General features: G+C 55.5%; 1 long non-coding RNA gene across 1 annotated transcript, besides 16 other annotated features; it reads right to left on the reverse strand.

The window, feature by feature from the left end:
* Positions 267 to 725: a transcriptional cis regulatory region, noted in NCBI's record as "candidate enhancer chr17.5434 targeted for multiplex CRISPR interference". NCBI's record gives its function as "positively regulates SOCS3 gene expression with high confidence in K562 cells {active_cell/tissue: K562}" and the evidence as "EXISTENCE:mutant phenotype evidence [ECO:0000015][PMID:30612741]".
* Positions 1,674 to 1,723: an enhancer, noted in NCBI's record as "active region_12885". NCBI's record gives its function as "activates an Ori minimal core promoter by ATAC-STARR-seq in GM12878 lymphoblastoid cells {active_cell/tissue: GM12878}" and the evidence as "EXISTENCE:reporter gene assay evidence [ECO:0000049][PMID:35858748]".
* Positions 1,734 to 2,053: an enhancer, noted in NCBI's record as "active region_12886". NCBI's record gives its function as "activates an Ori minimal core promoter by ATAC-STARR-seq in GM12878 lymphoblastoid cells {active_cell/tissue: GM12878}" and the evidence as "EXISTENCE:reporter gene assay evidence [ECO:0000049][PMID:35858748]".
* Positions 2,225 to 2,813: a transcriptional cis regulatory region, noted in NCBI's record as "candidate enhancer chr17.5435 targeted for multiplex CRISPR interference". NCBI's record gives its function as "positively regulates SOCS3 gene expression with high confidence in K562 cells {active_cell/tissue: K562}" and the evidence as "EXISTENCE:mutant phenotype evidence [ECO:0000015][PMID:30612741]".
* Positions 2,225 to 3,240: a biological region, named in NCBI's record as "CRISPRi-validated cis-regulatory element chr17.5435". NCBI's record gives its function as "regulatory_interactions: SOCS3".
* Positions 2,376 to 3,240: an enhancer, noted in NCBI's record as "H3K4me1 hESC enhancer chr17:76254747-76255611 (GRCh37/hg19 assembly coordinates)". NCBI's record gives its function as "activates a minimal SCP1, AML or CMV promoter by ChIP-STARR-seq in naive H9 embryonic stem cells {active_cell/tissue: H9 hESC(naive)}" and the evidence as "EXISTENCE:reporter gene assay evidence [ECO:0000049][PMID:30033119]".
* Positions 2,464 to 2,513: a silencer, noted in NCBI's record as "silent region_9055". NCBI's record gives its function as "represses an Ori minimal core promoter by ATAC-STARR-seq in GM12878 lymphoblastoid cells {active_cell/tissue: GM12878}" and the evidence as "EXISTENCE:reporter gene assay evidence [ECO:0000049][PMID:35858748]".
* Positions 2,786 to 2,955: an enhancer, noted in NCBI's record as "experimental_47472 CRE fragment used in MPRA reporter constructs". NCBI's record gives its function as "activates a minimal promoter by MPRAs in K562 erythroleukemia cells, with activity observed for both the introgressed and non-introgressed 17:76255242 variant alleles {active_cell/tissue: K562}" and the evidence as "EXISTENCE:reporter gene assay evidence [ECO:0000049][PMID:34662402]".
* On the reverse strand, positions 5,059 to 22,202 carry LINC01993 (long intergenic non-protein coding RNA 1993). Its single transcript, NR_073178.1, has 7 exons — positions 22,154 to 22,202; positions 14,962 to 15,677; positions 14,362 to 14,556; positions 13,480 to 13,655; positions 9,687 to 9,943; positions 6,957 to 7,932; positions 5,059 to 5,623 (listed from the first exon to the last, which is right to left on the reverse strand). It is a non-coding gene; the product is annotated as a long intergenic non-protein coding RNA 1993 (long non-coding RNA).
* Positions 10,950 to 11,673: an enhancer, noted in NCBI's record as "H3K27ac-H3K4me1 hESC enhancer chr17:76263321-76264044 (GRCh37/hg19 assembly coordinates)". NCBI's record gives its function as "activates a minimal SCP1, AML or CMV promoter by ChIP-STARR-seq in primed H9 embryonic stem cells {active_cell/tissue: H9 hESC(primed)}" and the evidence as "EXISTENCE:reporter gene assay evidence [ECO:0000049][PMID:30033119]".
* Positions 11,674 to 12,399: an enhancer, noted in NCBI's record as "H3K27ac-H3K4me1 hESC enhancer chr17:76264045-76264770 (GRCh37/hg19 assembly coordinates)". NCBI's record gives its function as "activates a minimal SCP1, AML or CMV promoter by ChIP-STARR-seq in primed H9 embryonic stem cells {active_cell/tissue: H9 hESC(primed)}" and the evidence as "EXISTENCE:reporter gene assay evidence [ECO:0000049][PMID:30033119]".
* Positions 13,850 to 14,574: an enhancer, noted in NCBI's record as "H3K27ac-H3K4me1 hESC enhancer chr17:76266221-76266945 (GRCh37/hg19 assembly coordinates)". NCBI's record gives its function as "activates a minimal SCP1, AML or CMV promoter by ChIP-STARR-seq in naive H9 embryonic stem cells {active_cell/tissue: H9 hESC(naive)}" and the evidence as "EXISTENCE:reporter gene assay evidence [ECO:0000049][PMID:30033119]".
* Positions 15,942 to 16,631: an enhancer, noted in NCBI's record as "H3K4me1 hESC enhancer chr17:76268313-76269002 (GRCh37/hg19 assembly coordinates)". NCBI's record gives its function as "activates a minimal SCP1, AML or CMV promoter by ChIP-STARR-seq in primed H9 embryonic stem cells {active_cell/tissue: H9 hESC(primed)}" and the evidence as "EXISTENCE:reporter gene assay evidence [ECO:0000049][PMID:30033119]".
* Positions 19,957 to 20,226: an enhancer, noted in NCBI's record as "active region_12887". NCBI's record gives its function as "activates an Ori minimal core promoter by ATAC-STARR-seq in GM12878 lymphoblastoid cells {active_cell/tissue: GM12878}" and the evidence as "EXISTENCE:reporter gene assay evidence [ECO:0000049][PMID:35858748]".
* Positions 20,457 to 20,506: an enhancer, noted in NCBI's record as "active region_12888". NCBI's record gives its function as "activates an Ori minimal core promoter by ATAC-STARR-seq in GM12878 lymphoblastoid cells {active_cell/tissue: GM12878}" and the evidence as "EXISTENCE:reporter gene assay evidence [ECO:0000049][PMID:35858748]".
* Positions 21,068 to 21,901: an enhancer, noted in NCBI's record as "H3K27ac-H3K4me1 hESC enhancer chr17:76273439-76274272 (GRCh37/hg19 assembly coordinates)". NCBI's record gives its function as "activates a minimal SCP1, AML or CMV promoter by ChIP-STARR-seq in naive H9 embryonic stem cells {active_cell/tissue: H9 hESC(naive)}" and the evidence as "EXISTENCE:reporter gene assay evidence [ECO:0000049][PMID:30033119]".
* Positions 21,902 to 22,735: an enhancer, noted in NCBI's record as "H3K27ac-H3K4me1 hESC enhancer chr17:76274273-76275106 (GRCh37/hg19 assembly coordinates)". NCBI's record gives its function as "activates a minimal SCP1, AML or CMV promoter by ChIP-STARR-seq in naive H9 embryonic stem cells {active_cell/tissue: H9 hESC(naive)}" and the evidence as "EXISTENCE:reporter gene assay evidence [ECO:0000049][PMID:30033119]".

Raw genomic sequence — 23,629 nt, forward strand, 5'->3', positions numbered from 1 at the left:
GATCAGTCATGGCCAGGCCTTTACCACAGGCCAGCTCCAGGTCAGGCCTGGGGACTTAGGGCGAGCAGAGGTGGCCTGCCCTCCAGAGCTCAGGTCCCAGGGGTGGGGGACAAGATGCTGGCCGTGAGAGGATGGCAGCGAGGAAGCAGCTCTAACAGTCCCAGTCCAGGCAGCAGGGCAGGCTTTTTGGAGGAAGCAGTGATTAGGCTGAGCTTCGAAGATGGAGCCGACTTTGGACAGAGGGATAGCAGGGGTGAAGCCTCTGGGTAGAGAGGAGCTGCTGCGTTTGTGGCCCTGAGGGCCAGCGTGGCTGGGGAAGTGAGCAGGGGTGGGGATGGAGCCCAAAAGCTACATCCGGGGCCTGATGACCTCTCAGGGGCTCTCCATCTCTCTTCCTTCAGCTTGGTGGGAATTGTAAGTACCCGCAGGGTCAGTGGTCCCAAGGACACCCATGTGATGGACAGGCTTGCTGCCTTCCCCTCCCCAGAGCCCTTCTGGGCCTGACCCACAATCTGCACCAAATTCCTGCCCTTAGAAAACAAGCCCCTTATCTCATTGTCTGGCTCCAGACCTTCTGCTGGGAAGTAGGGGGCGGGGAACGGAGGCCTCTGTGGGAAGGAAAGGAGGTGGTCTGGCGGGGCAGGGACTGGGGGCAGGGATAGCAGCGCTCAGGGGAGAAGGGGGACAAACAAATGGACCCCCGGCCCCTCGAGCTATGGCAGAATCACAGAATGGCCTCCTGTTTGCCAAGCTTCGCAGTCTGCAAAGCCTGCCCTCTGCAGCTTCCCTGCCAATGGTCCCAGCGGCTTTGCAGTGGAAGGATGGGCAGGGAGGCTGGGGTCACAGAGGCCCGAGGACCCTGCCCGAGAGGCACAGCTGGTCACCCAACAGGGCCTTTCTCCCTTTCTCCCAAATCAGAGCTGTCTCCCCAGATAGGTGGCCTCTCCCTGGGGGAACCTGGGGCAGAACAGTTTCCTTCTTCTGGGTCCTCCTATCTAGTCCCCGGGTCACCTGGGCCAGCCCTGCCTTGTCCCAGTGGGGTCTGACAGTGTGGAGGAGCAAGAAGGGTGGGCTCTCACACGGAAAGGTGCAGTGAGGCCTGTGGCAGGTGGACCCCATGACCCCAGCTTGGCCTCTGGGGGGTTGTCTGGGCTCCTACATGTGTGTGTGTGCATGCGTGTGTACATGGGTGTGTGTGTGTGTGTGCATGTGTGTGTGCGCACGTGTGTGTGTGTGACCCTGGCTGCAACTGAGATCTGAGTTGTCTTGCTGGTAAGCTGGGGACGGGCCGCAGTTCCCAGGCTGGGATGAGAAGCCCAAAGCCCTCTGTGGAGCCAACTCTACTTGCCCCCACCCCTGTCCCAGCACTGACCCTCTTCCCTCCCCTCTCTGCAGTTCTTCTTGACATTCTCACTAGAAGGGTCACCATCACTGGAGGTCCTGGGGTCATCTCCTGCCCCAACGCAGGCTGGCCCCACCCCCACATGCCAGCTGCTCCCTTCTCTCCTGAGCCCCTGCCCCCCAGGACTGACCCCTGCAGCCCAGCCCTTCCCAAACTTCTGAGCTCCTCTGTCCGTGGGTGCAGTGGGGCCCCTCGGCGGGGCTTCCTCCCTGGCCTCTGTGGGATCCAGCCCTTCTGCCTCCCAGACGCCTCCCCGCCCCACACTCTGGCTTGCAACACTTCTGTTCCCGAATGCGCTGGCCTCTCTTTCACCCCGAGACCTCTGCACCTGCATTCTGTCTGGAAAACCCCCAACCGTCGGCACGCATCCCTGGTCACCACCTTCTAAGTCTTCAGATCTTAGCTGAGACGCCTCATTCTCCATGAAGCCCTCCTGGCCCAGCCCAGTGGGGGATGGAGGTAGCCCTCCTCCTGTGCTGCCTATAGCACCTTTTCTTCCCACTGCGCACGGGTCACAGCTGCCTGTTTACTCCTCTGACTTCTCCGTGTGGCTGATGCCCTGTGCCTGCAGGGCCCAGACGCCCTCCTCCTTTGGTGTGTCCTGCATGCCTAGCCCAGTGCCAGGACCACAGGACTCAGTAAACACCAGCCAGGTGACTGACAATGGAGGGACATGTGGTTCGCCATCCCCTGCCCCTGGGACCCCCCAGGCAGAAGTGTGCACACCCCCCAGGGTGTGAGACCCCTGTGCAGAAGGACATGGCGAGGATTCCAGAGGAACAGGGGCTGGCCTGGCCTCAGCCTCTCAGAGTCAGGTCTGGGGGTCCTGAAGACAGCCCCCTCCCTGGCCTTCTTGAGAGATTTGCGGCTCCCCTGAGCAGTGGGAGGCCACTGGGCTGGCTGGAGGGGGCCTTGCGACATAAGCCCCAGGTGGGCTGCCTTTCACGGCGCCCCCGGCTCCCTGGCACCCGCCCAGGCGCAGGCGCTGGGGTGTGGGCACACACTCACATGCTGAGTTCAGTGTGCGGATTCCTGTAACGCTGGGCTGCTGGCAGGAAGTGCGCGCCGGGGAGGCTGCTGCTGGGAACCCAGGGCTGGCCCCGCTGAGATAAAGGGAGGCAGCAGATCGCAGCTGGAGATAGCGGCCCTGGGTCCTGGTAAACAGGTGGGGGGGGTGGGGGGGGGGAAATGTCCTTTCCATCCCATCCTCTTGGCCCTGAGCCTGCAGGATCTATAGCGCCCTAGCCTAAGCCCAGCCCCGATAGCTTGGGATCCAGAGGGGAGTTGTCGGCACTGCCATCATCATTCCCAGCCTGGGGGACTGGGTGGCAAAGGACAGGGCGCTGGGCCTGGGGGCCTGGCTGGGCCCATGGTGGGCATGCACTTGGCCCACGTGGGGGCCACTGGGTGTCAAGGTCATGTGTGCTGTTGGGAGGGTGGGAAGGGGAAGGGAGGGAGCTCCTCCAAGCCCCTGCACTTCCCCAACTGGGACCCCCTAGTGGGAAAGATGTCCCTCTCCAGGTTCGCCTTCAGCACCATCTCCGGAAATCCAGAGTGAGGTGCCATGAGGGTGCGAGACCGGGAGAGAATGGGGGGTGGAGTGAGGGGGGCGTGAGGGCTGTTCCCCAGCCAGGTGCAGAGCAGGGGGGCTACAGAGCTGGGGAGACCCTGTGCATGACTTCAACAGGAAGCCACAGGATGTTCACCTGCACTCCATCAGCTCACCGTGGGCTAGCGGGAGCTCGGCATGGCCCATCCCCAGTGCCCAACACAATGGGCGCTCAAATACACTTGCTTGTTTAAAAAATTAAGAAATTTACCACGCATACAGAAATGCTCATGAAGCATATTTGTACAGTGTTATGAATAAATACATATAAAATAAACTCCCGTGCCATAGCCACTCAGACCAATAAATAGTCCATGGTGGGGCGTGGTGGCTCACGCCTGTAACCCCAGGGCTTTGGGAGGCCAAGGCGGGTGGATCACCTGAAGTCAGGAGTTCGAGACCAGCCTGGCCAACATGGAGAAACCCCGTCTCTACCAAAAATACAAAAAATTACCCAGGCATGGTGGTGGGCGCTTGGAATCCCAGCTACTCGGGAGGCTGAGGCAGGAGAATCACTTGAACTCGGGAGGCAGAGGTTGCAGTGAGCCGAGATCGTGCCATTGCACTCCAGCCTGGGCGACAGAGCAAGACTGTGTCTCACACACACACATACACACAAACACAAACACACACACACACAAAAGAAATAGACCATGGCCAGGATTCCAGAAGCTTCCTTCCTATTTACAACCCTTCCCTCTGCAGAAGTTACTGCTGCCCTGACATTCTTCTTCATATATATATACACATATACATATACATACACATATATGTATACATATATATACACATATATATACACACACACATAGATAGATAGATAGATAGATGATAGATAGACAGATTTGAGATGGAGTCTAACTATGTTACCCAGGCTGGTTTCGAACTCCTGGACTCAAGCGGTCCTCCCACCTCTGCCTCCCAAATCTCTGGGATCACAGATGTGAGCCACCAGGCCTGGCCTGGCCTGACTTTTATGACCAGGACTTGCTTTTCTTTATGATTTTGCCACCGTAGATGTATCCCTTAATAGCAGTTGAGTGTTGAGTGTGGCCTGTGTGTGAACTTTACAGAAGTCGAATCAGGGTGTCTCCTTTTATGTCTGGCTTCATTAGGCTGTTTGCAAGAGTCACCCGTGCTGTGGCTGTCATTTATTCTCTGCTGCCAGGTACTTTTCCACTGGGTCCCTAGAGCATAGTTTATTTCTCCATTCTACCTGTTTAGGGACATTTGGGATTTTGTTTCCAGACTGGCCATGTACGGTGGTGCTGGTGGGCATTCTTATTCCTGTCTGCTGGGGCACAGGTGCCTGCTTCGGGAGGGCGGACGCCTGGCGGTGGGGCTGCTGATTCTGGGGTCTCTCATCTGCAGCTTTACTAGGTGTGCCAAATCCTTTCCCAAAGTGCTGGAAATGCCCTCCTCCCCCACTTTCCCACACTTCTCCATCTCGGTAACACTAGTGTTATCAGACTTCTTCATCTTAGCTGTCCTTGTGATATGTGGTGATATCTCCTGGCAATTTTAATCTGATCTTTTTTTTTTTTTTTTCTTTGATGGAATCTCACTCTGTCACCCAGGCTGGAGTGCAGTGACGCAATCTCGGCTCACTGCAACCTCTGTCTCCCGGGTTCAAGCGATTCTCCTGCCTCAGCCTCCCGAGTAGCTGGGATTACAGGTGCCCACCACCACGCCTGGTTAATTTTTGTATTTTTAGTAGATGGGGGTTTCACCATGTTAGCCAGGCTGGTCTTGAACTCTTGACCTCAGGTGATCTGCCTGCCTCGGCCTTCCAAAGTGGTGGGATTACAGGCATGAGCCACCGTGCCTGGCCTCTTTTTTTTTTTTTTTTTTTTTTTTGAAGAAACTGAGTCTTGCTCTGTCACCCAGGCTGCAGTGCAGTGGTGCAATCATAGCTCATTGCAGCCTGAACTCCTGGGCTTAAGCAATCCACCCCCATCAGCCTCCCAAGGTGCTGGGATTATAGGCATGAGCCACCACACTGGGCCCTGCTCTTTCTGTTAACTGCTAAAGGAGAGTACCTTTTATTATTTATTTATTTATTTATTTATTTTTTGAGACGGAGTCTCGCTCTATCGCCCAGGCTGGAGTGCAGTGGCGCGATCTCGGCTCACTGCAAGCTCCGCCTCCCAAGTTCACACCATTCTCCTGCCTCAGCCTCCCGAGTAGCTGGGACCACAGGCGCCCGCCACCATGCCCGGCTAATTTTTCTTGTATTTTTAGTAGAGACGGGGTTTCACCGTGTTAGCCAGGATGGTCTCGATCTCCTGACCTCGTGATACACCCGTCTTGGCCTCCCAAAGTGCTGGGATTACAGGCGTGAGCCACCGCGCCCAGCCCCTTTTCTTATGTTTTAGCCGTTTGAATTCCTCTTTGTGAAGAGCATGTTCTGGTCTTTTCTCATTGACTGGTCAGGCTGGTTGGTATGTGCAAGCATACTGATCCTTGCGGGTTCTGTGCGTTGCAAAGATTTCACCCCAGGGCTGGGTGCAGTGGCTCATGCCTTCAATCCCAGCACTTTGAGAGTCCAAGGCGGGCGGATCACAAGGTCAGCAGTTCGAGACCAGTCTGGTCAACATAGTGAAACCCCATATCTACCAAAAATACAAAAGATTATCTGGGTATGGTGGTATGTGCCTGTAATCCCAGCTACTTGGGAGACTGAGGCAGGAGAATCACATGAACCCAAGAGTCAGAGGTTGCAGTGAGCAGAGATCGAGCCATTGCGCTCCAGCCCGGGCAACAGTGCGAGACTCCATCTCAAAAAAAAAAAAAAAAAAATTTCCCCACAGTACAGCTGCGGTGGCTCTCGCCTATAATCCCAGCACTTTGGGAGGCCAAGGGACGGGGATCACTGGAGGTCAGGAGTTCGATACCAGCCTGGCCAACGTGGTGAAACCCTGTCTCTACTCAAAATACAGAAATTAGCCAGGCGTGGTGGCACATGCCTGTAATCCCAGCTACTGGGGAGGCTGAGGCAGGAGAATTGCTTGAACCCAGGAGGTGGAGGCTGCAGTGAGCTGACATCGAGCTACTGCACTCCAGCCTGGGTGACAGAGTGAGACTCTGTCAAAAAAAAAAAAAAAAAAAAAAATTTCCCCCGTGCTGTGGTTTGTCTTTTTTTGTTGTTATTGTTTGAGACAAGGTCTGACTCTTTTGCTCAGGTTGGAGTGCAGTGGTATGATCATAGCTCACTGTAGCCTCAACCTCCTGGGCTCAAGCAGTCCTCCGGCCTCAGCCTCCAGAGTAGCAGGGACATACCACCATGCCTGGCTATTTTATTTTATTTGCAGACATGAGGTCTTGCTATGTTGTCCAGGCTGGTCTCAAACTCTTGTCCTCAAGCAGTCCTCCCAACTTGGCCTCCCAAAGTGCTGGGATTACAGGCATGAGCCACTGCAGCTGGCTGGCTTTTCTTTTTCTTTTCTTTCTTTTTCTTCTTCTTTTTTTTTTTTTTTTTTTTTGAGATGGAGTCATGCTCTGTTGCCCAGGCTGGAGTACAGTGGTGCGATCTCAGCTCACTGCAACCTCCACCTCCCAGGTTCAAGCGATTCTCTGCCTCAGCCTCCCCAGTAGCTGAGATTACAGGCACCGACCACCACACGCAGCTAATTTTTGTGTTTAATAGAGAGGGGATTTCACCATGTTGGCCAGGCTGGTCTTGAACTCCTGCTCTCAAGTAATCCACCCGCCTTGGCCTTTCAAAGTGCTGGGATGACAGGTGTGAGCCGCTGCACCCGGCCCCGCTTCTGTCTTTAGATACGGTTGCAAGCTGTGGTGTGTGTGGACAGGGGAATGGGGACTTAGGGATTGGGCTGGGGGGACCCTCAGGAACCCCTCTACTGCCTTCCAGGTGTCCCCAGCTTGGGCTGAGACCAGGGCACCCCCTTGTGCCTTCTGCCCCCACCTGCTCCCTCCTGGGCCTACCAGCCTGCGGCCGCACTGGCTGCTGACAGCTGGGACGCTGGGGTCTGGCGTTATTTACTGCGGCAGCTTCCTCCTCCTTCCAGGAACTTGTCCTCTAACTTGGGGCGGCAGCGAGGCCTCTAATCTTTCGGATCTCGTTTACCGGCATTGGCCTCTCACTTCCTGTTGCTAGGCCTGGACCGAGGCACGGGGTCAGCTCCGTGCACTGCGCCTTGCCTGTTGCCGGGGCCTCTGTTCTGGCCCCTCGGCAGGGAGGACAGAGGGTCAGATGCCGGGCCTCAGGCACAGTGGCCATCTGGGGTAGGGCCAGCTCCACAGAGGCAGGGGACCCAAGGCTGAGCCGGCTGTGGGCTCTGCTTCCTGGAGTCCAGGGTCCAGCACGGGGACCAGGTTATTCCTTCGCTCCTCCTGGCTTGGCAGAGCGTCATGGAAGGTGGCCTTCCCCAGACTCCCCCACATCCCCTCCTCCCACTTCTGCAGCCACCAGAGCCAGGGCCCTTGTGGGAAAGGACAGGGAAGTCTCAGGAGTTTGGGCACAGACAAGATCCCTGGAGACCGTGGGGTCTGCTGCCCTGGAGATGTGGAATCCCAGGCCTTGCCCACCTCCTCCACCCTGGGTGGGTTCCCCAACCACCCAGAGGAGTGCTGGCATCTCGGGGCCACCAGGGCATGGGCAAGAGTGGCTGCCCAGCCCCTGCCAAGGGCCTGAAGCCAGCGCCAGGCAGACCCTGCCTTGTTGAGCAGTATCTTCAGTAAGGGCTCTGTGTGCCGAACACCTGCTGTGCGCCCTGCACACTTATCCCAGAGATGGGATTCAAACCCAGGTTGCCCAGCGCAGAGAAACAGCATTCTCCTTCTGCATCCGTGAAGGAAGCTTTGTCTTCTAAAAGCCCTAGCCCTTCTGTTACCTTGTCCTCAGCCGGCCTGCTTCTGTCCCTGTGCCATAAGCCAGATGAATTTCTCTCCCAGGCTGGCCCTGCAGAGGATGAGAGATGGCCCTTGTTAGAGGCACCCTGGGCACCCCAGGCATGGCTCCCCAGCTGATGATAGAACAACTGAGACAGACCCGGCATGGTGGCTCACACCTGTAATTCCAGCACTTTGGGAGGCCGAGGCAGGCGGATCACTTGAGGTCAGGAGTTCGAGACCACCCTGGCTAACATGGTGAAACCCTGTCTCTACTAAAAATACAAAAAATTAGCCGGGCGTGGTGGCAGGCGCCTGTAGTCCCAGCTACTCAGAAGGCTGAGGCAGGAGAATGGCGTGAACCCGGGAGGCAGAGCTTGCAGTGAGCCGAGATCTCACCACTGCACTCCAGCCTGGGTGACAGAGCGAGACTCTGTCTCAAAAAAAAAAAAAAAAAAAAACATCTGGGATCAGGAAACGAGGAAAAGTATGGTCTTCATAGTGGCAGAGTTTGCAGGGGTCTTTGGGAAGAAGGAAGGTTGGAACTTGAGGCTGGGGGATGGATCATAGGGGAGGGGCTCCATCCTAGCTGGGGAAGGGAGGGCTGTCCTGCTGACATTGGCCTCTAGAATGGGATATGCAGGATGACCCCCCTGGGGCAGGGAGGAGAATGTTATACTTAGCATTTAAATCTCGCTCTTTTTAAATGCCTATCTTTCGTGAATGTTTTATAATGCAAGTAATGTATTCATGCGGTCATGGAAACTTGTAATCTAAAAATAACTATGCATATATCATTTTTGTTGGTAAGGGTGCACGATCAAAATAGTGTGAAGGTTTGAAGGTCACTTTCTCCTAGGTCTTATTGTTTCTTTAATTACTTTTTATTTATTTATTTATTTTTTTGGAGATGGAGTCTTGCTTTGTAACCCAAGCTAAAGCTCACTGCATCCTCGAACTCCTGGGCTCAAGAGATCCTCCTGCCTCAGCCTCTAGGGTAGCTGGGACGGTAGGCGTGTGCCACCGCATCTGGCTCTAGGTCTTATAATTTCTGTCCTTGGCCACCCACCTGCTGATTCCAAGGTCTAGGATGGCAGGATGAAGGAAGGTCCCACATTTGGGGACCTGCAGGACAGGCTGCAACAGAAAGGCCTAGTTTAATGAGTAGCATGGGCGGGCCTGGAGACCGAGAGGTGATGTAGGCACGCATGGGGTTCAGGCCTCTCTGTGGTGAGCGCTTGCCCCCGCTGGAAGCAGAGACAAGACCCTGGCTGGGTCTTCTGTTTTGTTTTGTTTTGTTTTGTTTTCTGAGACAGAGTTTTGCTCTTGTTGCCCAGGCTGGAGTGCGATAGCGCAATGTTGGCTCACTGCAGCCTCTGCCTCCTGGGTGGAAGTGATTCTCCTGCCTCAGCGTCTCGAGTAGCTGGAATTACAGCCACACACCACCACGCCTGGCTAATTTTGTATTTTCAGTAGAGATGGGGTTTCTCTATGTTGGACAGGTTCCTCTCGAACTCCTGACCTCAGGTGATCCGCCCGCCTCGGCCTCCCAAAGTGCTGGGATTACAGGCGTGAGCCACTGCTCCCGGCCATGTGCCGTCTGATTAGGAACCCAAGAGCCCCTTCCTGGGAACAGAAGGACAACTGGCACCTGCTGAGGCACGCCCACTTGCCGAGCTGCCCTGGGATCCCTGGGCAGAGCGTCATCGCTTAAGAACCTAATTCCACAACAAATATTTGTCACGCTCCTGCCAGGGCCCTGGCAGGAGCAGAGGCGGTGTGTACTGCCATGCATTCCTGGTCTGTTGGGTGATTGACACATACAAGACGCCAGCGGTCCTGAGAGTCAGGTGCCTTCCTGGACCCCTTGGTGAGCGGAGGTGAGTTGCCATCAAGGAGGGAAGATTCAGGAAGATAACTCCAAGGTCCTCAATCCGTCCACCAGTCAGTGGATGGCAAACATAATCCATGGGCACTGATTAGGTTTGCCAGCCCATGCTGAGTGCTGGGTTCAGTGTCCTTCGTCTCCTGCCAAGGGGAGAGGACCTCGAATGGACGCCTGGGACCATGATCCCATTTTGCTGGGGAGGAAACAGATTAGGGAGGAAGGGAACCTTGGTGGTGAGCAGTAAAGCCAGGATTGGAACCCGCGCCGCTAAGGTCTCTGCCTCCCTGTAGGACCCACCCTGGCTGTGGGGAGGCACTAGCTTGGGGAGGAGCCCCTGGCTGGTCCTCCCAGGTGTGTGTGGAGTCAGCCAGGGGCAGTGCTGGCAGGGCCTCCAGGCACTGTCCAGCCTCCTCCTCTTCTGCACTTGGAAGAATTCCAGCTGTTTTTCAGCCTCTCTCTTCCTCCAGGAAGCCTTGCATGATAGCCCTACCCCTCTGCCAAGACACACACCCTCTTCTCCCTTTTTCCTTGGCACCTGGCTTATCTCACAGTTGCCTTTGTCGTCGGCCAGCGTCCCTCACTGGGTTTCAGGCTCATGGAGGGCAAGACCTGAGTCTTTCATTCTCAGGATCCCTAGCAGGGGGCTTAGGGCATAATGAGCATTCAGGAAATAACTGGAGAAACGTGGATGAGGAAACGGATAGCAGAGGGTGGAGAGGGGCTTGCTTCTAAAGGCGAGACGTGAACCTAGTGGGATGACCAGGCAGGGTGGGGGTGGTGGGGAGTTGTGGGGAGGCCAGTACAGAACAGCTCCAGGGAGGGCATGGAGCATGGTGTGAGCAGGAGGCCTGTCTGACCTCCGGGGATGGCCCCGTGGGACAGAGGACCTTGAAAGCCAGGCAGAGGGATGGGATCAGATACTAACGCCCATAGGGAGCCCTGGCAGGTCCTTGAGCAGGGGCATGGCAGGGCAAGCCTTCCTTTAGCCCAGGGTGAGCTTGCGCCAACCCGTGCTGCAGAGGAGAAGGGCATGGAGGATAGCTACTCCCTCTGGGTGTTCTTCCGGCCCGGCTACCCTCAGCCAGAGCTCAGGAATCACACTCCCCTGGAACCTGGAGTTTTGGATTCAATCTTTATTCAATAAATGGCTTATTGGGAACCGACAGGGTGGCTAGAGCCTGCCTGGTGTTGGGGTTGGGGGACCCTGCCTGGTGGTTTGGGCTCTGTGGGTGTGTGAGGACCACTCCACGGTGGTGCTGGCGTTCCCCATTCCACTCTGGGCTCAGCGCCCCTGACACACTCCCCCTGCCCACTCTGGAGGCCAGGCCCCCTGGTGCTGGGGGAGGCACTGGCTTGGAGAGGAGCCCCTGGCTGGTCCTCCTAGAAGAGAGAGTCTGTGGGGTGGGCCTCCACAGCCCTGCCGGGCCCCACACGGGCAGCTGTTCCCGGAATGGGGGTTTGAAACTTTTCTTTTGTTGGCGAATATGCATGTGGTCTTAATTATTAATATGCAGCACTTATCTCCCCCAAATGTTTTATCGGGATTCGGCAGATCCGAGTGTGCAGGCAGTGGGTGCGGGGGCAGGGCAGGGATATTATGGGAGCACAGGGAGGCCCCAGAAGTTGGAGTGTCCTCCAAATCAGCTGGATGACCCAGAGGAAGGAAAGACCCTGGTTAACGATGGTCAAGTTAACTCTTTCAGGCCCTGCCCAATGCTGCAAAATCGCACCTGGGTGTTTGGCCTGGGTAGGCCTACCGCGCCTTTCTGGGTTCTGGCCTATGCCGATGTCTCCCCTGCCCCGCAGGACCCTGGTGGACTGGAGGGAAGGTAGGGAGCCGCATCTCTCAGCAGCAACCCAGGACTTAAGGAGGGCCATTGCCCTTTTCTGGTGGGGGTGAAGGAGGAGGAAGCAGCGTGACCTTGGAATCCGTCACCTATTAACTTCCCGCGTATCACCTGATCTCATTCGGCGTCCACCACCCCCTGGAAGTGGGCTTATCGGGCCCATTTTTAGACGAGGAAACCAGAGTGAGACGAGTCACAGATCTGAGGACCTCCAGCAGAGCAGGGAGGTGCCCAGGTGGGGGGCGGGCGGGTGGTCTTTCTTTTGGGGCAGCATCCCAAAAGAAAGGAAAAACAGCAGGGGGCGTGGCTCCCCTCACTGCCCCGCAACCATCCCTGCCTGGCCAGGGCCTTTTGGGCAGTGCCACTGGAGATTCCTGGAAGTGCCTTCGGGCCACACACACACACATCCTCCGGGACCCTCCCAGCCCCCCACTCTGCGCTTCCCGGGTTTGCAGGAGGGCCCCAAGGCCAGCCGGGAGCCCTGCAGGACCTGGGAGGAACCTGAGCCTGAAGGGTCTAGGAGCCCGCCGTGTCTGCTCTCAAGTGCCCCGCGTTCCCTTGGCCTGATCCCCGATCCCGTGCACCCTGCACCCAGTAGGCCCTCCGGGGCCGGGGCTGAATCAGCTTCGGAGGCTTCAGCAAGGCATTGCAGGGGGTCCCTACGGGAGGTTTAGTCCAGGGCACTCGCAGTGTTGTGGGACGCTGGGCAGGGCTGATCCCAGCCACTGAGTCTTCCCGGGCAGAGAGCAGACAGGGGGGCATTGGGATTTGGAGGGGCACCCGGGAACCTCCTGTCCCTTCCGGGCCGCCTCCCCTTACCCTGATTTCCCTTGCAGGGAGGGCTGTGCAGGTTTGTGGTGGGGTGGGGAGGACTTCCTAGAATTTGTTGCTTTGATTGGAATCTTCCCTATTGGGGCAGGGTTGGGGTGAGCTCTTGCCCACCCTGCCCACCCCCTGCCGCCAGAATCCTGGGCTCCCTCCGTTGAGTTGTGTTGGGGTCGGGGAGCTTCGTTTATGGCATCCCTGAATTCACCCCAGGCTTTGAAGTCAGGCTCGCTCCACAGGAAAAGCTCTTCCAAGAGGGAGATTCCCTGGACCTCCTGGGCCTCCGCCTGGTAATTGGCGCTTCGATTAACAGCTCGGGTGCGAGGGGCACTTCAGTGGGGGGCAGGGCAGCTGAGTCAGGGGCCCAGCCCAGGGGAGATGTTACAGGAGGGAGGACGGGAAGGGAGGCGGGGAGGTTGGTAATTCCAGATTGAGGAGGGTCTCCGTAGCTCTCCGAGTGGGTGAGGACCCCTCGGAGGCAAGTGTGGGGTCCCCCAGGGCCTGCTGGGCCCCCTTGGGCCCCTGGAACAATGGGTTCCCACTAGCCAACCTGTTCCCACAGCCAGAAGTTGCCATGGTGACCCCCTCCCACCTTCAGCTACAGCTTTTCCAGTAAAACCACTGCAGAAATCCATACTTCCCGACAGGCACGCCCGGCCCCCCACCCCCCACTCTGCGCGGTCTTGGAGCCTCGGGGAGTTAACCCTGCGCATGCTGGTGTCTGTTGTTTGGGGGAGACGGGAGTGAGAGCCGGCAATGCGGGCCCCAGGCTGGAGAGGAGAGGGTGGACGGGGGCAAGACAAGCTGCCCTGTCCTTGAAGGCCCCAGCGAGTGACTTGAGCAACTCCAGGAAGCTGGAGCGGAGCAGTGAAGCTAGCTCTGACCTAGGGGCCCCCTTGGCACAGAGGAGGCCTAGCTGGGGCCCACAGCGCAGCTCACCCCTTCTAGAGTGACCCCCTGCCCGCAGTCGCTGGGACACGAGACCCTTCCCGGCCTGGCTGCAGCTGCTACCCTGTTAGCCGATCCCCTCTTCCTCCTCTCCCCTCCCGGCACAAACCTTTTTCCTGGAGGCAGAGAGGGCTCAGTCCCAGGTCCCCGTGGCCCTGCTGCCAGCACCTGGCGGCCCCCAAGGGCACTGCGTACCTGGAGCCCGGCTTTGCATCCACAGGTCTGCCCTAGGGGGCTGTTGAACTCCAGAAGTCGCTGCCTGCTCAGGGTCTCCGTGTCCTCCCCCTGAGAAGTGGGGATAATGATCTGGGCTGCTTCCAAGCTTGGGGAAGAGGATCCCCCTAGAAGGTTCTGTCCTGCTGCCTCTGCCAGGTGGAGGGGCCCCTGGGGACACCCCAGGCTGCAGGGGCTCAGGGGGCTCCGTGGCCCAGGCCCAGCCTCACTTCTGCAGCCAGAGTGAGCAAGGAGATGCTGTAATTGTTCTCTCTGTAGCCCAGGATGAATAATTGAGAGGTCTTTGAAGAGAATTAATTAGCCAGCTTATTGACTGGAAACGCTTTGCTGCAGATGATGGAGGATGGAAGCCTGCGTGGGGCCCGTTTGCCGGCTGGGGCCGCACCAGACATTCAATTCACACCCATGGCTGCTCAGCGGGACCAGGGGCTCGGCCTTTGCCTAGTACCTGCTCTCTCCTGCTCAGGAGGAAGTGGGGGAGCTGAGCCCCAACTTGGCACCCTGCTGTGGTTCTGTCCTGATTTCTGGTATGGGGAGGGGGGGCAGCACCCCTTAGACTCAACTCTGCTCTGTCTTCTAAGAGGCAAGATGGGGGCCTCTCCAGGAGTGGGGGTGGGTGTGGCTCAGTCTTGGGAGCAGTTCCCTTGCAGGATAGACTCTGGTCCTGGGCTCCTTCAGTCCAGCCCACCCCACCGCCTGAGCCCCAGCCCCTTTTCGGGAACTAGGGAGTGACAGGAAAAGACGAAAGCGTTCTTGCCTGCAGGCTGCAGGGGGTCAGACATGTCGATGTCCCTGGTGAGGCTGAGGAGGGCCGGTTCTCATGGAATGGACAAGGCGCTAGGCAGGAAATGCTGGATCACTAGCCCCGGGTACCAGTCATTAATAGTAGTAGTAAACATTCCTCCAGCAGGCCCTGTCCTAAGCACACTGCATGCACTAACTCCTGTAGACCCTGTGAAGACAGGGGGTGGGCTTGTTCCCCAGCTGGGTCTGCAGAGCCTCAGGGCAGAACCTGGCACAGATAAAGCTTTGTTGATTGAATGAATGAGTGAATGAAGGAAATGAATGTGAGGAAGCTGAGTGGCAAAGTTAGACTCACACATCGGGTTTGTTTGTTTGTTTTTTTGAGATAGAATCTCTCTCAGTTGCCCAGGCTGGAGTGCAATGGCGCAATCTTGGCTCACTGCAACCTCTGCCTCCCAGGTTCAAGCGATTCTCCTGCCTTAGCCTCCCGAGTAGCTGGGATTACAGGCATGTGCCACCACACCTGGCTAATTTTTGTATTTTTAGTAGAGATGGGATTTCACCATGTTGGCCAGGCTGGTCTTAAGCTCCTGACCTCAGGTGATCCACTCACCTCGGCCTCCCAAAGTGCTGGGATTACAGGCGTGAGCCACCGTGCCCGGCCTCACACACCGTTTTTAAGCTGGCTCAAGGATCCGTGCTCTGATGCATCCTCCAGTCCCAGGCGACGTCAACATGGAAGATGTGGGCAAGAGGCAAACAGTCATGAAGGGCTTGGGCCATGTGGAGGATGAGCAGGAGGTGGGGGCCCTGAGAGCGGGCCCAGGGTTCAGCCCTGCCTCTGCAGCTGCTGGAGCACCAGTGAAGAGAGGGCAGGTGCCAGCAGGCATGGTGCAACTGTGGGGGACATGGGCGGGGCAGGGGGTACCTGGGTGGAGCTGGTTGGGGACCATTGCTCTTGGTCCAGATAAGGCATGACAAGGCCTGGGCCAAGACCCCTGAAATGGGGCATGGAGAGTCTGTGACAGCTCTGAGATATGTGGAGGGGAAGGGGAATGGAACCTGGTGACTTGTGGACCTGCGGAATGGGGGACAGGAGTTGAGATGACTCCAGGTATCTCCCGACATGAGCACATGTATCTGCAAATGAGGCGGGGGTCAGGAAGCACAGGGAGCTTGCTCTTGCCCCGGGGGCCTAGGATGCCCTGGGCTGTCATCATTCCACACTCACCCCTGACCTGCTCCTGCTCGCTCAGGGAGGCTGCCTTACAGGGAGGTATCAGTGGCTCCCTCATCCTCTGCCTCTGTGGAGCCCACAGTGGGAGGCACCTGCAGAACATGGGGGTGGGGGACAGTGCAGTTGGGGGCGTGGGTGTTCCTTCCTCTATCTGCCTCCCTCACAGAGTTGTGATCAAGCGAGTTGTAGAGAAACGCCACTCTCTGAGACGAATTCAGGCTAGTGCTCAAAATTCTCTCCACCCCAAAGAAGGGGCTAGATTTTCTTTTATACTTTGTTTTAGAAAGGGGCGGTGGGGGGAGTCTAGTTAAAACAATCTTACAGAAGCAAAGCAGACAAAAAAGTTAAAAGGATAAATGGTTACGGGAAAGCAAACAGTTCCAGGTGCAGGGGCTTTAAATGTATTACAAGGTGATAGACGCGGGGCTTTGAGTGTTATCAACCGGATACAAACGCGGGGACTCTGGGTGCTATCAACCGGGCGAATTCCTAGGAACTGCGGATATAACTTGCCACAGTATCTTATCAGTTAATTGCATCCTTGGATGTGCTGGCAGTCTGCTTGCACAAGTTAAGTCCTTGAGGAAGGGGGTGGGTAAGGGGCTGTAAGTGAAGGAGCCAAGATGGAGTCTGTCTGGCTCTCTCAGCTAAGGGAGAGTCAATTCAGGTTAAAACAAGGTTGGGTATCACAATAGCCCTCTCCATGCCTCTCTGTCCAGGGCTGGGATTGGTTGGCATACTCTGCATGCCTTTCCCCAGCCCTCCAGCTGTCCTAGAGTTGGGCTGGGATAACCCTCCAGCCGCCCTGTGAGTTGCACTGGGATCAGTCAGGTGTACTCTGCATGCCTCACCCCAGCCCCCGAGCCGTCCCGTGGGTTGGAGTTGTTTGCGTCACTGGCTTTCTGTTCTCAGCTGACTTAGCTGGGACGTCAACAACTCCCTATGTCAGAGGCAAGTCTCCGCCTGCATCTGCCAGAGCTCCACACAGCTGCAGACACCTGTGGCTTCATCTGAGTCCTCATCTCGGCCTCTGGGAACCACTCCTTCCTACCCTTTGCCTGGAGACAGTGGAAGCCGAGGGACATTTCTCCGAATGGCGTTCACTTGGCTCCAGAAATGAGAACTGGAATGAGGAAGAGGAATCAGTCTCCCTCCAGGTGGCTGAAGCTAGGCACGTGGAACCTGGGAGCAGCGGGCAGCCACACTGGTGCCCTTCAGACAGCAGGAGGGGGCTCTTGTCCGAAGCTCTGAGTTCAAAACAGAGGGGACATGGGGGAACAGCAGGAGGTAGGATCAGGCCCCCCAACTCCTGCCGAGAGCTCACACCTGTCTTCAGCCCCTCCTGCATTCCTGCCAGTGGTAGCCATTTGCCCTTTTGGTTGCCTGGTGTCCAAATACCCTTTCTACGTTGGAGGTAGGGTCCTGGGGGTCCCTGCTCCCTTTCCCAGGCTCTGAAAACTGACTCCTGGGAATGTGACCAAAATGATTACATTAAATGCTTCCACCTGAATGTTTAATCGTGAAGATGAGATGCCAAGTTCAAGAGTAATTTAGGGGCCAGGTGTGGTGGCTTGCGCCTGTAACCCCAGCATTTTGGGAGGCCGAGGCAGGTGGATCACTGGAGACCAGGAGTTTGAGACAAGCCTGGCCAATATGGTGAAACCCTGTGTCTACTAAAAATGCAAAAATTAGTCAGGTGTGGTGGTGCACACCTATAATCCCAGCTACTCGGGAGGCTGAGACAGGAGAATCGCTTGAACCTGGGAGGTGGAGGTTGCAGTGAGCCAAGATCAGGTCACTGCACTCCAGCCTGGGCGACACAGCAAGACTCTGTCTCAAAAAAAAATAAAAAATAAAAAAAGAGTAATTTAGGATTGTTCCCAAGGGTTGTGGTAGAGCCAGACAGCACTGTGTCACAGCATGCAGTGAGTATCCAGCCTCGATACCCTATGCAGCCCATTCTATGCTAACGGTTACCCCCACTGAATTCCTTTTCTGCATAGGTTAACCAGAGTGCCACTGTCAGTCACAATACTGACTAGTGGCTTCTCTTGGGTTTCCTGAGAAACTCCCTATATCAGTTAGTGAGTGCCATAATCAGGCTGTGTAACAAGCAGCCCCGCAATCCTGGTGGCATTCTACAATAAGCATTTGTTTTGCTCACATCTCTGTGGGTCTGTGGGGGTTCACCAGATCCAGGCTTGGATTAGCTGGCTGGCGTCTGGGCTGTGAGTTGGGTCCAGGTTTGCTTCACATGTTTCTTATCAACCTCGGCCCAGCAAGCTACCTGAGGCGTGTTCCTTCCAGGGTGACTTCAGCAGTGAAAGAGAGCAAGTTCATTGTGCAAGCACAGTTCAAGTCTACTCACTCCATATCCCCTGACATCCCACTGATCAAAGCAAGTCCCATAGCTATGCCCCAAGTCAAGGATGTGAATGCATAATTCTACTACAAGGGAGTGAAGAAGCAGGACTGATCATTCCATCCTCCCCTTATTTGTTTTTAGTTTTTATTATGAAAAAAAAAATTTTTTTTTGAGACCGAGTCTTGTTCTGTCGCCCAGGCTGGCTGAAGTGCAGTGGTGTGATCTCAGCTCACTGCAACCTCCACCTCTCGGGTTTAAGCAATTCTCTTGCTTCAGCCCCCCCGAGTAGCTGGGACTACAGGCTTCTGCCACCACGCCCAGCTAATTTTTGTATTTTTAGTAGATACGGGGTTTTGCCATGTTGGCTAGGCTGGTCTCAAACTCCTGGACTCAGGTGATCTGCCCACCTCGGCCTCCTAAAGTGCTGGGATTATGGGCGTAAGCCACTGCACCAGGACCATGAAAATATTTTTTTAAAAATAGGCAGAAGGGGCCGGGCACGGTGGCTCACGCCTGTAATCCCAGCACTTTGGGAGGCAGAGGCAGGTAGATCACGAGGTCAGGAGATCGAGACCATCCTGGCTAACATGGTGAAACCCCATCTCTACTAAAAATACAAAAAAAATTAGCCGGGTTTGGTGGCGGGCGCCTGTAGTCCCAGCTACTCGAGAGGCTGAGGCAGGAGAATGGCGTGAACCCAGGAGGCAGAGCTTGCAGTGAGCCGAGATAGCGCCACTGCACTCCAGCCTGGGCGACAGAGCGAGACTCCATCTCAAAAAAATAAATAAGTAAAAATAAATAAAAATAGGCAGAAGGGTGTAATGAATCCCCATAGAACATCACCCAGATTCCACAATTATTATTATTTTCCCATATTTGTCTAACCTGTTTTTTTTCCCTTGGTAAAGTGTATTTTTTAAACTTTTTTTTCCCATATGTAAAACAAATAATTTATGTAAAGATATATGTATATATACACACATAACAAAATTTACCATTTTAACCATTTTCAAGTGTACAGTTCAGTGGCATTAAGTAATTACCACTGTTGCACAGTTGCTCTCCAGCTCCTGAACATTCTAATCTTCCCAAACTGAAACTGTCCCCATTAATTAACACTAGCTCCCCATTCCCCTGGACCCCAACCCCTGGCAACCACCATGCTATTTTCTGTCTCTATAAATCTAACAATCTCACATGAGTGGAATCACACGGTATGTGTCTTTGTGTGACTGGCTGATTTCATTTAGTGTGATGTCTTCAAGGTGCATCCACGTGATAGCATAGGTCAGAATTTCCTTCCTTTTTAAGGCTGAATAATATTCCACCGTATGGATAGACCATAGTTTGTTTATCCATTCATGCATCCATGGATACTAGGGTTGCTTCTATCTTCTGGCTATTGCAAATGAATAATGCTGCTATGAACGTGGGTGAACATATCTCTGAGTCTCTGCTTTTAATTCTTTTGGGGATAGATACAGGAGTGGAAGTGCTGGGTTATACGCTAATTCTATGTTTAATTTTTGGAGCATCTCACCACACTGTTTTCCACAGCAATTGTACCATTTTCCATTCCCACCAAAATTGAGTGCACAGGGCCAAGCGCTGTGGCTCACACCTGTAATCCCAGCACTTTGGGAGGCCATGGCGGGTGGATCACTTGAGGTCAGGAGTTTGAGACCGGCCTGGCCAACATGGTGAAACCCCGTCTCTACTAAAAATATAAAAATTAGTCGGGCCATGGTGAAGCATGCCTGTAATCCCAGCTACTCAGGAGGCTGAGGCACGAGAATCGCTTGAATCCAGGAGGTGGAGGTTGTGGTGGGCCGAGATAGTGCCACTGCACTCCAGCCTGGATGACAGTGAGACTCCACCTCAAAAAAAAAAATTGAGTGCACAGGATTCCAATTTCTCCACATCTTCACCAACACTTGTTATTTTCTGTTGTTTTTTTTTTAAAAAAAATAGTAGCCGTCCTAATAGGTATTGAGTGGCGTCGTCTTGTGGTTTTAGTTTGCATTTCAGGCTCCATTTGACTTCGGCTGGTTTGAGGTGAGTTTCTGTTTCTTGTAACTGGCGCTAGTTCAGGTAGGCTCAGCAGCTGCAGAACTCAAAGAGATATGTTCACCCGCGTTCATAGCAGCATTATTCATTTGCAATAGCCAAAAGATAGAAGCAACCCTAGTGTCCATGGATACATGAATGGATAAACAAACTATGGTCTATCCATACTGTGGAATATTATTCAGCCTTAACAAAGGAAGGAAATTCTGACCTATGCTATCATGTGGATGAACCTTGGAGACATCACACTAAGTGAAATCAGCCAGTCACACAAAGACACATACCAGCTCAGCAGCTGCAGCACGGTAGCCAACAATAGCAGCTGTGGCTTGTGGAGAAGTTTATTTCTCCTTCTGTAACAGCCCAGGGCGGGTGCACCCGGTCTATGCAGCCCTACTCCCTTAGGGGACCCAGGCGGATGCTGCTTTGCTACCTTGACGTGGAGTTTCTGAGCTCGCTCTGCCGGTTGCCACCTGGGTCCCCAGGTGGGAGGGTGGAGCACCTGCCAGGATTGATGGGCTAAGGGCGGAACTTTCCCCTTGCATTCCATCAGGGGTATTTATCTTTTTTTTTTTTTTTTTTTTTTTGAGATGGAGTCTTGCTCTGTCACCCAGGCTGGAGTGCAGTGGTGCGATCTCGGCTCACTGCAACCTCCGCCTCCCAGGTTCAAGCAATTCTCCTGCCTCAGCCTCCTGAGTAGCTGGGATTACAGGTGCCACCATGCCCAGCTAATTTTGTTATTTTTAGTAGAGACGGGGTTTTGCCATGTTGGCCAGGCTGGTCTCAAACTCCTGACCTCAGGTGATCCGCCCACCTCGGCCTCCCAAAGTGCTGGGATTACAGGAATGAGCCACCGCACCCGGTCTCAGTTGATATTTCTAAGAATCTGCATAGAATAGACCAGCCGACCCTGGATCCTATCAGAGGGTGGAGGCTGGGAGGAGGAAGAGGATCAGGAAAAATAACTAATGCGTACTAGACTTAGTACCTGCGTGCTGAAATAATCTGTACAACAAACCCCAATGTCACGGGCTTACCTATATAACAAACCTGCACGTGGACCCCTGAACTTAAAAGGTTTTTTTAAAAAAAGAGGGTCGGGTACAGTGGCTCACACCTGTAATCCCAGCACTTTGGGAGGCCAAGGTGGGTGGATCATCTGAGGTCAGGAGTTCCAGACCAGTCTGGCCAACATGGTGGAACCCTGTCGTCTCTACTAAAAATACAAAAATTAGCCGGGCATGGTGGTGGGCGTAATCCCATCTACTCGGGAGACTGAGGCAGGAGAATTGCTTGAACCTGGGAGGCGGAGGTTGCAGTCAGCCGAGATCACACCACTGCACTCCAGCCTGGGCGACAGGGCAAGACTCTGTCTCCAAAAAAAAAAAAAAAGGGGAAGCCTGTTGCCCAAAAGGGCTGCTGTGGTACCTAAAAATGTGGGCTTTCTCCTTCTGGGAGGGGGTAGGAAGAAGTCGCCCCCACTCTCCAGGCCCACGGCTGCCCCGCCCCTGCTCACCAGCCGGCTGGCTGTGGCAAAACTAAAGCCTGCCCCGTGCCCTGAGCCCGGCATGTTGTTCAGCCTCTCTGAAATGGTCTCCTTGGATCATGGGCAGAGATGGTACGATGGGATCCCACCCGAGGGGTCCCGGCCGGTGCTCACGGGGCTGGGACCAGCTGCTCTTACTCTGTTTTTCTACCTTTCTCAGCCACTTGGAGGAAGAGAGAATTTTGTTACCTTTTACAGGTAAGGACGCTGAGGTTCACAGGATAAGTCACTTCCAGCCAGGTGTGTGTGACCTCAGATCCATACTCAGAGGGAGGTGGGCTGGGCAGAGCCTCCCACCTGCTCCCCTGGAGGCCCATGAGTCTGGGCACTGGGGCCCCAATTCCTATAAACCGGGGTTGATTACGGAGGACTCCCCTCACCTGCAACCCCGCCTCCCACCACAGAGCCCAGGCAGCAGGGAAGCCTGGAGACAGGCGCAGAGCCTCTGGGCCTGGGTGCCTACCCCTGCCCACCCCCAGGGCCTCAGGCCACAGGAGACCACCTAAAGCAGGAGCCGGGAGTAGGGCCCAGGCTGGGCTGGCACAGCTGGGCCTGTGAGGGGTGGAGGGGCCGCTGGGGAAGGGACTTACCAGCAGCAGCTCTGCTGGGACCTGGGAGGCTCTCCTCATTTCCAGTAACAAGCGGGGGTGGGGGCAGTGGGAGGGAGGAGGCGGCTTTCCCCAGGTGCCAGCTGTGCTTGAAGACAGCCTGTCCCCTCTGCTGTCTCCTGTTCTCAGCTCCTTAATCCCCTCCCCGACCTCGTAGTTGACTCCTGGGCTGACTCCTCCCCTGGAAGGGAAAGAAGAGCCGGGCTCACCCACACCCAACAGGTGCAGCAGCTGCTTGAGGTCACAGTTGCTGAGAAGGGAAGCTGAGGCCAGTGGCAGCTCCAGCCAGGGTTGGTGCAGCCTGCTGAGGGGTCGAGGTCACCCAATCACCCACCCAGCTCCACCTGCCCCCACCCCTCCCACCCAGCCTGGCCACCAGCCCAGACACCTTCCTCACATGGCCTGAAGACCCCTGCTGACCTGTGGCACCATGTGGCCCAGCAGGGTGGCCAGGCTGGCCGGGGTCATGGGGTGGGGGACGCTGCTCCCCACCTGCCCTGGGGTGGTCGGTGCTGTTGGGGAGGCCACTCTCTAGGGGCATCTGCCAGGTAGGCAGACCAGAAACTTACCCCGAGTTCTGTGACCCGCTCCGGGGAGCGGGGCATCTCATGTCCTCTCAGCCACGTCTGAAAGCTGGGACATGGCAGAGTGGGCAGGGCTGCCCTCTGAGCTGACCCCCTTCCCCTCCTCCCCATCTTGTCTCTCCTCAGATCTAGGGCTCACTCTGAGGCGTGGGTGACACTTGCCCCCCAACCCCAGCCTCTTCAGTGCAGGGAGGCAGGGCCTGAACTTCGGAGGGCCTTGGGGCAGGTTCCTGGGGCTTGCAGTGAGGCCTCCCCTTTCCCAGGGAGAGGAAGGGAGAAGCCGCGTCTGGCGAGGGAAGCCTGTACCCTCACCCTCACTGTGTCCAGATCTGCACCCCTAACCTGGCCTGGGGAGACTGGCACCAGGTGGAGCTGGTCCCCAAGGAGCCCCAAACCCCAGAACATCTGCTGCAGGGGTCAGCTCTCAGGGGGCCCCAGGGCCAGTCCTCTCTGCACCCCACCTTCCCTGCTCAATGTGGCTTGTAGGAGGTTATGCAAAGCATTATGCAAAGCACATGCAAATGAGACCCAACCACAACTGGTCACTCTCTCCAGGCAAGACCACTGAAGCCCTCTGGTCATCAGCAGGAATGCAGGGGCGCCTATGGCAGGCCGGACTCCAGGTCAGGCCTTGGGGCAGTGAGGAAGAAGGTGCATGCCAGGTAAGCTATAGTCAAAAGGGAGGGACACACACCACCAGGCGAATGAATGAAGCAAATCAATGGCACTCCTCCCTGCCCCAGAATTCAAAATGACAGACCGGTGCAGACAGATGCATGTGTGTTCTGAGAGGTGGTTGTGTACAAGCAAGCTCACTCCTTCAGTCTCCCATTCATTCACTTATTCTGCAAACTCGGTGTCTATTATGAGCCTG

Source organism: Homo sapiens, chromosome 17, assembly GCF_000001405.40.
Source record: "Homo sapiens chromosome 17, GRCh38.p14 Primary Assembly".
Taxonomy (NCBI): domain Eukaryota; kingdom Metazoa; phylum Chordata; class Mammalia; order Primates; family Hominidae; genus Homo; species Homo sapiens.